Source organism: Homo sapiens, chromosome 18 (assembly GCF_000001405.40).
Source record: "Homo sapiens chromosome 18, GRCh38.p14 Primary Assembly".
NCBI classification, from domain to species: domain Eukaryota; kingdom Metazoa; phylum Chordata; class Mammalia; order Primates; family Hominidae; genus Homo; species Homo sapiens.
In genome coordinates, this window is record NC_000018.10 from 23,081,137 (window position 1) to 23,097,068 (window position 15,932).

The 15,932-nt window shown below is 45.0% G+C and overlaps 1 annotated feature.

Moving 5' to 3' along the window:
- Window positions 3,124-3,624: an enhancer, noted in NCBI's record as "H3K4me1 hESC enhancer chr18:20664224-20664724 (GRCh37/hg19 assembly coordinates)". NCBI's record gives its function as "activates a minimal SCP1, AML or CMV promoter by ChIP-STARR-seq in naive and primed H9 embryonic stem cells {active_cell/tissue: H9 hESC(naive and primed)}" and the evidence as "EXISTENCE:reporter gene assay evidence [ECO:0000049][PMID:30033119]".

The window sequence follows — 15,932 nt, forward strand, 5'->3', positions numbered from 1 at the left end:
GAGATGGGGTTCCACCATGTTGGCCAGGCTGGTCTCAAACTCCTGACCTCAAGTGATCTGCCCACCTCGGCCTCCCAGTGTTCTGGGATTACAGGCATGAGCCCCACACCCGGCCTCAACATTTCTTTATTCCACATCAGTATGTGGTTCTTTGCTTTCTCCTTTAAATGATCATAACATCTGCCTGGTTCCTGTCTCATAATGAGGTAAATAAAATCTTTAACATGTGTTCATTGTATATCTATGTGAGAGTCATGATTTTACCTTTTCAGAAAACTTCCTTTAACAAAGGTAGCAATCTTTTCAAGTACTGTTCATGTTTCTGAGTCTTAAGAAATGATTGCCGGGTGCGGTGGCTCATGCCTGTAATCCCGGCACTTTGAGAGGTGGAGGCGGGCAGATCACAAGGTCAGGAGTTCGAGACCAGCCTGGCCAACATGGTGAAACTCCCGTCTCTAATAAAAATACAAAAATTAGCTGGGTGTGGTGGCACGTGCCTGTAACCCCAGCTACTGGGGAGGCTGAGGCAGGAGAATCGCTTGAACCTAGGAGGTGGAGGTTGCAGTGAGCCGAGATTGTGCCGCTGCATTCCAGCCTAGGGGACAGAGTGAGACTCCGTCTCAAAAAAAAAAAAAGGGAAATGATTATCTCCTGCCCAAGGTTATGAAGATATTTTAATGCACGTGCTTCTAGGCCTTTTAAAGTTTTGCTTTTAGCCAGGTGAAGTGGCTCATGCCTGTAAGCCCAGCACTCTAAGGGGCTGAGGCAGGAGGATTACTTGAGTCCAGGAGTTCAAGACAAGCCTAAACTTGGCAAAACCCCATCTCTACAAAAAAATACAAAAATTATCTGAGTGTGGTGGTGTGCATCTGTCATCCCAGCTATTATACTTGGGAGGCTCAGGTGGGAGGATCATCTGAGCCTGGGGAGACTGAAGCTGCAGTGAGTTGTGTTTGCACCACTGCACCGTAGCCTGGCCAACAGAAGAGACCCCGTCTCAAAAAATATATAAATAATAAAGTTTTGCTTTTATTATTCAAGTAATGTGGAATAGATGTTTGTTTATGGTATGAAACAGGGATGAAATTTAATTTTTTTCCCCGTAGAGGGCCAGTTTTCCCAGGCACCATTTATTAACCCCTTTCCCCACTTCATTGGTAATTCTGCCTCTGTCATGTGTCAAGATTCCTTTATGCATAAGTCTGTTTCAATGGGCCCCATTCTGTTCCAGAGGTCTACTTTTCCATTTCTATACCAATATCATATTGCTATAATTCCTGTAGCTTTATAAGAAATTCTAATATCTGGGTAAGCCTCCTGCCATGTACTTTATAATTAAAATTACCATGACTGGCTGGGCATGGTGACTCACACCTGTAATCCTAGCACTTTGGGAGGCCAAGGTGGGAGGATCACTTGAGGCCAGGAGTTCCAGACCAGCCTCGGACAACATGGTGAGACCCCTGTCTCTACAGAAAAAAAAAAAAATTAGCTGGGTGTGGTGGTGCATGCCTGTAGTCCTAGCCACTCAGGAGGCTGAGACAGAAGGATTGCTTGAACCAAGGAGTTTGAGGCTGCAGTGAGTTATGATTACACCAGTGCACCCCAGCCAGGGGAACAGAGCGAGACCCTGTTTCTAAATTAATTAATTAATTATGTAAAATAAAATTACCATGGCTATCATTGGCCCTTTACTTATCTGCATAACTTTTAGAATTAGCGTATGAAGATTGTCATAATACTCATTAGAATTTTCACGTAAATGTTATTGGATTCGCAGATGACTTTGGGAAGGATTGACTTCTTTAGGATTTCTTGGCTTTTTATCCACAAACATGATAAATATTTCCATTTGTTTAGATTTCTGAAAATATATTTTTTCATAGAGCTTTATAATTTTCTCCAGACAACTCTTGCACATCATTTGTTAGTTTAATTCCTAGGTACTTTGTGGTTTGGCTGTTATAAATGGAATGTTTCAGATGTTTATTGCTGGTATATCGTAATGCAGTTGATTCTTCATATACTGACATTATGTCTACCAACCTATATGTGTTCTTAAAGTTCGAACTTTAACATGTGATTCCTCTGCCAATTCTTAGTTCTTCCTGGACACCAGGGACTCCTTTCTGTGTGTATTTTTTGTTTGTTGGTTTGGTTTGGTTTGTTTTGTTTTTGGGGTTTTTTTTTTTTTTTTTTTTTTTTGAGACGGGAGTTTCACTCTTGTTGCCCAGGCTGGACTGCAGTGCTATGGGCTCACTGCAACCTCTGCCTCCCAGGTTCAAGCGATTCTCCTGCCTCAGCCTCCCGAGCAGCTGGGACTACAGGCATGCACCACTACGCCCGGCTAATTTTGTATTTTTAGTAGAAGTGTGGTTTCACCATGCTGGCCAGGCTAGTCTCGAACTCCTGACCTCGGGTGATCTACCTGCATCAGTCTCTCAAAGTGTTGGGATTACAAGCGTGAACCACTGCTCCCGGCCTTCTTTCTGTTTTTAAATCTACCTGTGGAAGATTTTCTAACTCAGTCCTTTGCAGAGTGTCAGGCACACTGCAGACATTCAATAAATATCTGTTAAATAAGTAATAGCCAAATAAAGGGATTTTCATTTGAAGAATTGTGCATTCACTCCTCTATGATCTGCAAATTCCATATTCAGCTATGTTAGCATAAGATTATGATACATGCATTTTTGCCTCCCTATTTAATATAGGTAAAATTTAGTTAAATGAAGAGAATAGCCCTTAAAGAAGGGAGGGAGAAGAGGAATATCAAAAATTGATAGCTGGGAGGAGGTGAGAAGGCATTGTTGCTAGGCAACAAATTTTATTTCTAGCAGTTGCTGACCCCAGTTCTAGAAGGTCTCCTTTCCCTCTCTCCTCTTCTTCATTCCCCTCCTCTTCTCATCTGATAGAGTCAAGAAAAAGATCACCCAGGATAGTGGGAGGTGGGAGTGGAGGGGAATTTGTTTACTGAACAAATCTCATATCTGGGGCAAAACGATGATTCGGTTTTCTTTTTTTCTGTTTTTTGAGACGGAATATTGCTCTGTTGTCCAGGCTAGAGTGTAGTGGTGCGTCCTTGGCTCACTGCAACCTCTGCCTCCTGGGTTCCTGCCATTCTCCCACCTCAGCCTCCCAAGTAGCTAGGACTACAGGCATGTGCCACCACGCCCAGCTAATTTTTTTGTATTTTTAGTAGAGACGGGGTTTCACCATGCTGCCGAGGCTGGTGGTGTACTCCTGGGCTCAAGCCATCCGCCTGACTTGGCCTCCAAAGTGTTGGGATTACAGGGGTGAGCCACTACACCCGGCCGTGTCTCTTTAAGGTTGTCTTCAGTTTGAAATCATCCTTATGCCAAAGGGGCACATTTTGGGGTGGCATATTCTGCTACCCTATATAATAATGACTAAAAAAGATGCTCAGTATCTTGATGATGTTTCTTGATGAGACTTAGCTTCTTTTTTTTTTTTGAGACGGAGTCTCGCTCTGTCGCCCAGGCTGGAGTGCAGTGGCGCGATCTCGGCTCACTGCAAGCTCCGCCTCCCGGGTTCACACCCTTCTCCTGCCTCAGCCTCCCGAGTAGCTGGGACTACAGGTGCCCGCCACCACGCCCAGATAATTTTTTTTTTTTTTAAGTTTTAGTAGAGACAGGGTTTCACCGTGTTAGCCAGGATGGTCTCGATCTCCTGGCCTCGTGATCCACCCGCCTCGGCCTCCCAAAGTGCTGGGATTACAGGCATGAGCCACCGGGCCCCGGCCGAGACTTAGCTTCTTTCATCTTTGTCCTTCCTCACCCAAGTCTCACCCTCAGCGCTCATCTGACAATCTCTCGCCTCATATATCCATCTGAGCCTCTCTCTGTGTCTGTGTCCTTTGTGTTTAAGTTTTCTGTGAAGACCTCATTGTGACAGGAATGTGCATGATAGGAGAGCAAGTGCTTCACCGAGGCTCCCTTCCTGTGCCCCAGCCTTCTCTGCAGAGGCACCTACCCCCACCCAAACCTCAATAATCCCTTCTGAATGTGACTTGCAGTCTCTGGAAGTTGAGGGAACAAATCAAATAAATGCCCTCCTACTCTCCTTAGCATGATTCCCAAGTGGAGACGTTCAAGTGACCCTTCAGATTTCTCCACGGAAAGGATGCATGGTTGCTAGGAAACCAACAATAGGTCTTAACCACACCTAGCATGAAAATACTCCCAACCTAAAGCTCTGTAATTACATTCGGGATTTTTAGCTGCTGCTCCATTATCATCTTTTAAAAATTCAATCTGACAAATATTTATGGAACTTGTACGTGCAAGGAACTTGCAAAGCACAGAACTGATCATGTCACTCTTCAGCTTAAAAGCCTTCTATGTCCTCCCTCCTGCATGTTGACAAAAAGAGTTAAATTCTGTAAAATATTTGAAGAGATTTATTCTGAGCCAAATATAAGTGACCATGGCCCATGACACAGTCCTCAGGAGGTCCTGAGAACATGTGCCCAAGGTGGTCAGGACGCAGCTTGGTTTCATGCATTTTAGGGAGACATGAGACATCAATCAAATACATTTAAGAAATATATTGGTTTGGTTCAGAAAGGTGGGACAACTCAAAGCGGGGGCTTCCAGGCTGCAGGTAAATTTAAACATTTTCTGGTTGACAATTGGTTGAGTTTATCTGAAGACCTGGGATTAATGGAAAGGAATGTTCAGGTTAAGATACAGGATTGTGGGGACCAAGTTTTATTGTGCGGAGGAATCTATCAGCAGACTTTAGAGAGAGAACAGGTTGTAAATTGTTTCTTATTGGACCTAAAAGGGTGCCTGGCTCTTAGTTGACTATCTCCTGAATCTAGAAAGAAAGGAAGGAAAACAAAGGGGGAAGGGGATTCTCTATAGAAGGTGGATTTTTCCCACAAGAGACTTTGCAGGGCAATTTCAAGGCATGGCAAGGAAATATATTTTGGGGTTAAATATTTTCTTTCTTGTCTCATAATGTTATGCCAGAGTCAGATCGAAAAGCAAGTCACAATATACAGGGTCAAATAAAACCATGAGATGAGAATCCATGCTTTGTAGGGCATAACTCCCCAGACCCCTTAGGTAGGCATTTGGGAAGATAAAAAGTCAGAGCTGAGCCGGGCGTGGTGGCTCACACCTTTAATCCCAGCACTTTGGGAGGCCGAGGCAGGTGGATCACCTGAGGTCGGGAGTTCGAGACCAGCCTGGACAACATGGTGAAACCCCATCTCTATTAAAAATACAAAAATTAGCTGGGTATAGTGGCGCACACCTGTAATCTGAGCTACTCCAGAGGCTGAGACAGGAGAATCGCTTAAACCTGGGAGGCGGAGGTTGCAGTGAGCTGAGATCGCACCACTGCACTCCAGCCTGGGCAACAGAGCAAGACTCTGTCTCCTGGAAAAAAAAAAAAAAAAAGCTTAGTCCTCATGTCCTACCCTCCCAAAAATGGAAAATGAAGTCAAAACTGCCTAATCTGGCCTGCAAAGCCAGCCTCCTTTCCTGCCTGCTGTAGCCTCACCTGGCGGCTGCTCACTGCCTCCACTGTATGCTCTTGGGTCTTTCTGAAATCCCATCCTGCTCTTGCCTACACAATGCCTTGTCATCTTTCCAAGCCCAGCTTAAAAGGGATGATTTATTCCAGGCTGAATGAATTGCTCATTCCTGTTCATTAATAATTTGAGGTGTGCATGATTTATGCAACAAAAATGTTTTATCTATGCAGTACTAAACACATCTTGTTTTCCTTCTAGCTTGCTCTTTTTTTTTTCAGAGATGGGGTCTCGCTATGTTGCCCAGGCTGGAGTGCAGGGACTATTCACAGGTGCAGTCAGAGCCCACTATAACCTTGAACTCTTGGCTTCAAGCAAGGCTCCCCGCCTCAGCTTCCCGAGTAGCTGGGAGAAATCACCAGTGAGCTCGGTTGCCTTCGTTCTTTATAGGAAACAGCTGCTAACTATTCTCTGTCTGCTTCTATCATATGGGTTCCCTATTGGTAACAAAACTAACACAGCTGATAATTCTTTTATTTCACAAATTATGGTCCTGACTTAATAAATACAGAGTTAAGAATTTTAAAATTTAAGAGGCAGCTAGTAATTATCCCAGAGGGGTTTTTAAAAAATTATATGCGCTCTGCTACCCAATCATGATTAGCACGGCAATGGGAGATGTCCCCGTATATCCAGGCTTTGTTCAGGTTTCATTAAATTTGGATGCTTCCAGAATGCTTCTACTCAAGAGAACAAGCATTATTTGAAGCTTCATGGTATCAAAAAGTTCATTCCTAAAGAAATAAATGGCTTTCTGTGATAACATAAACAACTTGCCAGCTATCAGCCATGAAATCTGGATTATCAAGATAGCTAACTTCTGGTTTTGTTTAGACACATGCTTACAATTCTCTCCAAACCTTGGTGCACACACAGGCCCTGTTTCTTGCAGCCTCTGCCTTTCATCGCCGCCATTGTGACAAATGGATTTGACGGGACCATGGATCTTTGAAATTGTTTCCCTTCACCACTCTCCTATATGTTTCCCTATATGATCATACTGGGAAAGCATTTCCCAGTATGATCTTAAATCATGGATAGTTTTAGTATCAGAGTCCTCCCAGAAAGCAGACACTGCCAGGCCCAGCAGCGATCCTGGCAATTTGGGAGACCAAGACAGGAGGATGGCTTGAGGACAGGAGTTTGAGACCAGCCTGAGTAACAGAACCAGACTCCATCTCTACAAATTTTTTTTTTCAATACTTAACTGAATATGGTGGTACCAGCTACTAGAGTCCTAGCTACTTGGGAGGCTGGCTGAGGCAGGAGGATTGCTTGATACCAGGAGTGTGAGTTTACAGTAAGCTATGATTGCACCACTGCACTCCAGCCTGGGTAACAGATCAAGACCCTGTCTCAAATTAAAAAAAAAAAAAAAAAGGCCAGGTGCAATGGCTCACATCTGTAATCCCAGCACTTCAGGAGGCTGAGGCAGGCAGATCACATGAGGCCAGGAGTTTGAGACCAGCCTGGCTAACATGGTGAAACCCTGTCTCTACTAAAAATACAAAAATTAGCCAGGCGTGATGGCACATGCCTGTAATCCCAACTACTCGGGAGTCTGAGGCATTAGAATCGCTTGAACCCGGGAGGTGGAGGTTGCAGTGAGCCCAGATCATGCCACTACACTCCAGCCTGGGCGTCAGAGTGAGACTCTGTCTCAAAGAAAAAAAAAAAAGAAAGAAAAGAAAAGCAGAAACCAATTTGGATATTTTAAGAGGAACTCAAAGGGGATTTATTATATAAGAGCTGAATGAGTGGAGAAGCCAAACAGAGAATAGCAACAGCAGGAAGTACTAAGGCTGGAAGACACAGAGTGAACGGAGCCCAGGATTCGGCATCACTGGGCAGATGCCGGAGCTGTTCACAGAGACACCACTCTTCCGGTAGCTTCCATGCTATATCAAGCCAGAGAGGACAAGGAACTTGAGAAGTGTAGTTCCCTGAGAGAGCTGATGGGAGCCCCGGAAGGCACGGAATGGGTGTGGTGGCAAACAGAGCACCAAGGGAGCAGGCTCCATGACTTTCAGCCCTGGAGGTGCGGCTCTGTGGCCCCGGGTGTTCTCCCAGGCCTCCTCTTAATCCATCTCATCCCAGTAAACCTCGCTGATGGGGACTGTGAAAGATGCCCCGCTCTTCTCCATGAGGGCTGGCCAGCTTTGGGGGAAATACGAATCTAAGTTTTCTGTTGTTTTTCTAATTAAGTTTTAAAAATAATTTTCAAGGAAGAAATTAACACCTCTACATTAGAACCAGGTGCCATATTTAAATTTCAAGTGGTTTTTAGTTTATCTCAAATGAATAAGTCTTTCTTTTCAACATTTAATATTCAAATACCTGTTCATAAAAATGCGTCTTCACCCTATTTTTGCCATATTTATTCCCTAGGGGATTTTCTTGGTTTGAGTCTTATGTTTAGCAGACACTTCAAGTCGACAAATTGAAATTGGCCGGCCATGGTGGCTCACGCCTATAATCCCAATACTTTGGAAGGCTGAGGCGGGCATATCACCTGAGGTCAGAAGTTTGATACCAGCCTGGCCAACATGGTGAAAACCGGTCTCTACTAAAAATACAAAATTAGCTATGCGTGGTGCATGCTGGTAATCCCAGCTACTTGGGAGGCTGAGACAGGAGAATTGATTGAACCTGGGAGGCAGAGGTTGCAGTGAGCCGAGATCACGGCACTGCACTCCAGCATGGAACACGAGAGCAAAACTCCATCTCAAAAAAAAAAAAAAGAGTTGGTGGGGGGCCGGGCACAGTAGCTCACGCCTGTAATCCCAGCACTCTGGGAGGCCAAGCCAGGTGGATCACGAGATCAAGAGATCAAGACCATCCTGGCCAACATGGTGAAACCCCATCTCTACTAAAAATACAAAAATTAACTGGGCGTGGTGGCGGGCGCCTGTAGTCCCAGCTACTTGGGAGGCTGAGGGAGCACAATCACTTGAACCTGGGAGACGGAGCGTGCAGTGAGCCGAGATTGCGCCGCTGCACTCCAGCCTGGCGACAGAGCGAGACTCTGTCTGAAAGAAAGAAAGAAAGAAAGGAAGAAAGAAGGAAGGAAAGAAGGAAGGAAGGAAGGAAGGAAGGAAGGAAGGAAGGAAAGAAAGAAAGAAAGAAAGAGAAAGAAAGAAAGAAAGAGAAAGAAAGAAAGGAAGAAAGAAGGAAGGAAAGAAGGAAGGAAGGAAGGAAGGAAGGAAGGAAGGAAGGAAAGAAAGAAAGAAAGAAAGAAAGAAAGAAAGAAAGAAAGAGAAAGAAAGAAAGAAAGAGAAAGAAAGAAAGGAAGAAAGAAGGAAGGAAAGAAGGAAGGAAGGAAGGAAAGAAAGAAAGAAAGAAAGAAAGAAAGAAAGAAAGAAAGAGAAAGAAAGAAAGGAAAGAAAGAAAGAGAAAGAAAGAAAGAAAGAAAGAAAGAAAGAAAGAAAGAAAGAAAGAAAGAAAGAAGAATCTCCTTTAAATTAGAAGGAAACTCTTAGTGTACTGCAGGATTCCTTTGCTAGGCTGAGCCCCAGTTGTCTGAAAGTCATTTGCCCAAAACATTTAACACTAACTCCTGAAAAATTCTGTACATGCTAAGAAGATCTGAACCACTTAGTGCAATAGGAATCTGCTAAAAAGCACCTAGGATAAGGGAAAACAACATAGAAAATCTGTATTTCTTCTTCTTCTTTTTTTTCCAAGACGGAGTCTTGCTCTGTCACCCAAGCTGGAGTGCAGTGGCATGATCTCAGCTCACTGCAACCTCCCCCTCCCGGGTTCAAGAAATTCTCCTGTCTCAGCTTCCCAAGTAGCTGGGATTATAGGCACGCACCACAACGACCGGCTAATTTTTGTATTTTTAGTAGAGACGGGTTTTCACCATGTTGGCCGGACTGGTCTTGAACTCCTGACCTCGTGATCCACCCACCTCAGCCTCCCAGTGTGTTGGGATTCCAGGCGTGAGCCACCGCGCCCGGCCGAAAAATTGTATTTCTATTCACAATGAGACAGGACTATTAAAACCACATGTTTATTTTTGGAAACTCTAATCTTCAGTAACTCTCATTTACAGTTCAACCACAATATGAAAACCCTTTATTATTTTATATCCAACTTTTATTATAAAAATAATAAATGCCCATATAAATATTTGGAAAATAAAAAGTATAATAATTCATGTTTTTAAAGCCATAACTTCAACATCTGATGATAACCTCTGTTAATACTGCAATGCCTATCTTGTGTGTGTGTATAAAACAACCTTGTAATCATATCACACATAGTTTTATATTCTGATTTTTATCATTTATCACTTTATCTTATGGATTTCTCCACACTAAAATGTTGCCCATTAAAAACTTATTATTATTATTACTATTATTATTATTTTGAGACAGAGTCTCTGTTGCCCAGGCTGGAGAGCCCTGGTGCCATCTCAGCTCACTGCAACCTCCGCCTCCCAGGTTAAAGAGTCTCCTGCCTCAGCCTCTTGAGTAGCTGGGATTACAAGCACGCACCACCACACCCAGCTAACTTTTGTATTTTTAGTAGAGACGGAGTTTCACCATGTTGGCCAGGCTGGACTCAAACTCCTGACCTCAAGCAATCCACCTGCCTCAGCCTGTCAAAGTGCTGGGATTACAGGCGTGAGCCACTGCACCCAACCTAAAAAATTCATTTTAATTGGCTCATGATACTTCATTGTTTGACAGTACTATAATTTATTAAATGATTTCCCTATTGTCAGACATTTAGGAACCACACTACAATTTATGCCTTGACAATCCAACATGAAAAGACTGTTTTTTTTTTTTTTGTCTTGAAAAAGGAAGTAACATCATCCCGAAAGAAGCTGGTATTTCCTCTTCTCAACCTCTGGTTCTCTCTCTTCACTGTCTCTGGTTTCATATTAACTTCATTTGAAGGCTTCTTCTTTTGCTATATTAAAGAATAGGAGTGAGAAAAGCAGCTACCACCTAGAGAAACTCTGACCAAAGGAGTGGCAATGGACGATTAATAAAATGATTATTTTAAAGATAAGCTTTGTTCTTGTTCTTTATAAATTGCAAGTCATGGCTGAATAATCATTTTTAAGAATATGTGTATATTTTTAGCCAGTTTTGGTGGCACGTGCCTGTAGTCCCAGCTACTCAGGAGGCCAAGGCAGGGGTATTGCTTGAGCCCAGGAGGTCAAGGCTGCAGTGAGCCATAATGGCGCCACTGCACTCCAGCCTGGGTGGCAGAGCAAGATCCTGTCTCAAAAAAAAAAAAAAATATATATATATGTGTGTGTGTGTGTGTGTGTGTGTGTGTGTGTGTGTACACATATATATTCCTTTTTAAAATATATATATATATATATATATTCTTATTTTTAAGATGCTTTAGATGAGTCAGTGTTCTCCAGATAGATGGATCCAATAGGATATATAGAGACATGAGAGGGGATTTATGAGGGGAATTGGCTCATGTGATTATGGAAGCTGAGAAGTCCCATGACAGGCCATCTGGAAGCTGGAGACCCGGGGATGATGGTAGTGTGGCTTTGCCCAAGTTCGAAGCCTCAGAACTGGGGAAGCCAATGGTATAACTCTCAGTCCGTGGCCAAAGCCCTGCGAACTCGGGGCTGGTGGAGGAGGATGCTGGTGTAAGTCCCGGAGTCCAAAGGCCAGGGAGCCTGGAGTCCTGCTGTCCAAGGGCAAGAGGAGAAGGCCGTCCCAGCTCCAGGAGAGAGCATGAGACTCTGCCTTCCCTCTGTCTTTCTATTCTCTGTGGTCCACCAGTCGATTGAACGTTGCCTGCCCACACTGAGAGCAGATCTTCCCTGCTCAGTTCACCAAATCACAATCCAGTCTCCTCTGGAAACACCTCACCAACACATCCAAAATGATGGTTTACCACCTCTCTAGATATTTCTCAATTCATTCAAGTTGACACCTAAAATTAACCATCACACTTAGAAATCCCTGTTATGTTGGCTGGGCACGGTGGCTCACACTTGTGATCCCAGCACTTTGGGAGGCCGAGGTGGGTGGGTCGCCTGAGGTTAGGAGTTTGAGACCAGCCTGGCCAACATGGTGAAACCTCATCTCTACTAAAAATACAAAAATTAGCTGGGCATAGTGGCGGGTGCCTGTAATCCCAGTTACTCAGGAGGCTGAGGCAGGAGAATCACTTGAACCTGGGAAGTGGAGGTTGCAGTGAGCTGAGATTGCGTCACTGCACTCCAGCCTGGGTGACAGAGTGAGACTCCATCTCAAAAAAGAAAGAAAGAAAGAAAAGGAAATCCCTGTTATGTGAGTGATGAGTTATGAATTCCACAGAAGGCTGTGATTAGGTATCTGTTTTGATTTATTTGGGATACCCATTGGTTTTCTTTTTCTTTTTCTTTTGAGACAGAGTTTTTCTCTTGTTACCCAGGCTGGAGTGCAATGGCGCAATCTCGGCTCACTGCAACCTCTGCCTCCTGGGTTCAAGCGATTCTCCTGCCACAGCCTCCCGAGTAGCTGGGATTACAGGCGCCTACCATCACATCTGGCTAATTTTTTGTATTTTTAGTAGAGACAGGGTTTCACCATGTTGGCCAGACTGATCTCGAACTCCTGACCTCAGGTGATCTGACCCCGTCGGCCTCTCAAAGTGCTGGGATTACAGGCATGAGTCACCGCACCCGGCCTACCCATTGGTTTTCTTGTGACCTTTTGTATTTTTGTAGTAGGCATCAATGATTTGGAGTGGGATTGGTCCTCTCGTGTGTGTGTGTGTGTGTGTGTGTGTGTGTGTTTATTTTGAGACAGAGTCTCACTCTGTCACCTAGGCTGGAGTGCAGTGGCACGATCATAGCTCACTGCATTCTCAAACTCCTGGGCTCAAGCAATCCTCCCTCCTTACTCCCAAATAGCTGGGACGACAGGCGTGTACCACCATGCCCAGCTAATTTATTTTTTTTTTCAGACGGAGTCTCACTCTGTTGCCCAGGCTGGAGTGCCGTGGCGTGATCTCGGCTCACTGCAAGCTCCACCTCCCGGGTTCACGCCATTCTCCTGCCTCAGCCTCCCGAGTAGCTGGGACTACAGGTGCCTGCCACCATGCCTGGCTAATTTTTTTGTATTTTTAGTAGAGACAGGGTTTCACCATGTTAGCCCGAATGGCCTCGATCTCCTGACCTTGTGATCAACCTGCCTCAGCCTCCCAGAGTGTTGGGATTACAGGCGTGAGCCACGGTGCCCAGCACCCCCCCTTTTTTTTTGAGACAGAGTTTTGCTCTCATGTTCCAGGCTAGAGTGCAGTGCCGTGATCCCGACCTCAGGTGATCTGCCCGCCTCGGCCTCCCAGAGTGTTGGGATTACAGGCGTGAGACACTGTGCCCAGCCTACCACTGCACCTTCTAATCTGGGGTTCATGTTACAAGTACAAAGGAAGATAAAGCAGTGAAAATTATGTCCCTTTTTAGGAGTGGAATTTGGATAGAAGACTCTTCTGCTGAGATGTTTGTAAACAACAGGTCACCTGCTAATTGAATAGAAGGATCTAAGCATTCCTTTGGGGTGCTACCTATGAGCATTGAACATCTCCTTCTTTCCACAGGAGCCATGTGCAGCTTGAGTATCCAGGGGTCATCCAGTCTGTTTCTTCTTCACTCAAGTCTACACTCTTTTTAAACACCCATCTAGAGGTAGAGCCAGAGGGGAGTTACATTTGGGAGGAAAAAAGAGAGAAGGGCTATGATTCATGGAGAGAACTGGCTCAAAAACTGCAATCCAGGTCAAGGTCACGGCTCCCAGCGTAAACTGAAGAGCCAGGGACCCTCGGCATCAATGGCTTGGCTCTTGGCACCGCTTCGGGTCAGGCTTAGTGTTGATACGGTTCATCAATTTGTTTTCAGAGAGCTGCCCCAAAGTCAGCAGGGTCAGTCAGTTCTAACCAGCAGGCAATCGAATAGCCAGCAAAGGCACCCCAGGGAGGGGGAGGAAGGAAGAAAGTAGGACGCCCGACTTGATCATGCTAATCCTTTAAGAACCCATCCGGCAGAGCCCAGTGTTTCAATCTTCTGCGCATATTAGCACTCAGCCATCAACCGACCCAACACATTTTCTCCTCATTTGCAAAATAGTTCTACAGACAAAATTGAAAAGCCATCTCTTTGGTTTCCTTAAGTACTGGGATGGGAACTGTAACTCCCATCAGTTCATCAGCAGAAGGACATATCTTTTTTTCCAATCTGCAAGACAGGCAAGGAAACGGGAGGATTGGTGAAATCATGGACTCAGAGCTCCCAGCCTGGGAGACAGCTTTCCAGGGAACCCGAGGAGGGGTGGAAACAGACGTGCTATTCGGGTGGTGTTAAACTATATTTCGCTCCACCCGAGAGAGATGTGAATGCCAATTGCCTCATATAGATCACCAAACTAGCACAGATGAAACACAGAATAGTAACAAAACTTGCATGATCCAAACAGCTGCTGAAAGTCTCCTTCTGCCAAAAACACAGAGCATCTGGTAAATCCTGAACTTGTCCTAGCATTTTTGTCAGAAGGTAAAGGAAAAAAGGAAGGTGGCTCCAACCCTGGAGTCAAGTCTGGCAACCCAGGAGGCAGGTGTGGGTGATATGGAAGGGAGGGGTCTAGACTGTTAAGCAAGTAAAGAAAGTAAGGAAGGGTTAAGTGCTTCACCTTAACCTTTGTTGATTTAAAAAAGATATCAGAAAGTTCGGCTGGGCGCAGTGGCTCCTGCCTGTAATCCCAGCACTTTGGGAGGCTGAGGCGGGAGGAGGGCTTGAGGCCAGCAGTTCAAGACCAGCCTGGGCAACATGGCGAAACCCCGTCTCTACGAAAAATACCAAAATTAGTCAGGTGTAGTGGTGCACACCTATAGTCCCAGCTATTTTGGAGGCTGAGATGGGAGGATTGCTTGAGTCTGAGAGGCAGAGGTTGTGAGTGAGCAGCACTGGAAGGTGGAGATTGCGCCACTGCACTCCAGAGGGGGCGAGAGAGCAACATTCTGTCTAAAAAAACAAACAAACCAAAAAGATATCAGAAAGTTTATCCAAAAGGTACATGCATTTGATGATACAATGTCTATCATTTGCTTCAAAATTAGTGGCAGCAGAAAAGGAGCTGAGGATAGCTAGGTGGGAGTATAGAGAAAACAGGATTGTCAGCCGGTCTGGTGGTGCACACCTGTGGTCCCAGCTACTTGGGAGGCTGAGGCAAGAGCATCCCTTGAGCCCAGGAGTTCGAGGCTGCAGTGCGCTGTGATTGTGCCAGTCAGAAGCCACTGCACTCTAACTCAGGCAACATAGTGAGATCTGTCTCTAATAAAAAAATAAGAAAGAAAGAAGGGAAAAGACAAACAGGATTGTCTATGAGTTGATCATTGTTGAAACCAGTTGATAGATTCACAGGAGTCCATTATATTACTGTCTTTATTTGTGTGTATGTTTGACATTTCCCATAATGGCAAGTAAAATGCGGCAGGGTGCAGTGGCTCACGCCTGTAATTCCAGCACTTTGGGAAGCTGAGGTGGGAAGATCGCTTTAGCTCGGGAGTTTGAAACCAGCCTGGGCAACATGGTGAAACCCCATCTCCATAAAAAATAAAAAATAAAAAAACATAAAAATTAGCCAGGCTTGTTGGCACTCACCTGTAGTCCCAGCTACTCAGGAAGCTGAGGCAGGAAGATTGCTTGAGGCCAGGAGGCTGAGGTTGCAGTGAGCATTGCTTGCACCACTGTACTCCAGCCTGGGTGACAGAGCAGGACCCAGTCTCAAAAAACAAAAACAAAAACTAAGTAAAATGAAACAAAACAAAATATTTTTTAGTGTAATACTCATTCTAAGGCAAAACAAAAATGCTAAAAGGAAGAATGACTTAAAGACATGACAAGCTTTCAAAAAAGAAACTGTCTATTGATAAGAGCACAAGCAATCCCCTTTAGGGAGAAAGTGTGTGTGTATTTTGGGGAGCAGGGCGGGGAGGCAGCATTAAGAGCAGGTGACTCGGCTGGGTGTGGTTCACCTTCCCTAGGGCCCATATGGACATTTATGGGGACATTTTTGCTTGTCGTACTCATGGGTGGCGATGTTGGTTCTCAGTGAGTGGAGGGAACCAGGGATGTTAAAAGTCCTTTAATCCAAGGACATAGAACTGCCCCCCCTTTGGCCCCGATGCCAGCAATGCCCCAGCTGAACAGTACAGATGTAAGAAAACCAAAGTGCCAAGGTAGCCGCGGGGGGAGCCCATCTGTTCACCTGATCTTAAAAGCAGATGCTCCATGCACAGGGAGGATGCACAGTAAAGGATGAATAATAGGCCAGGCGCGGTGGCTCACACCTGTAATCCCAGCACTTTGGGAGGCCGAGGCAGGCAGGTCGCTTGAGGTCAGGAGTTC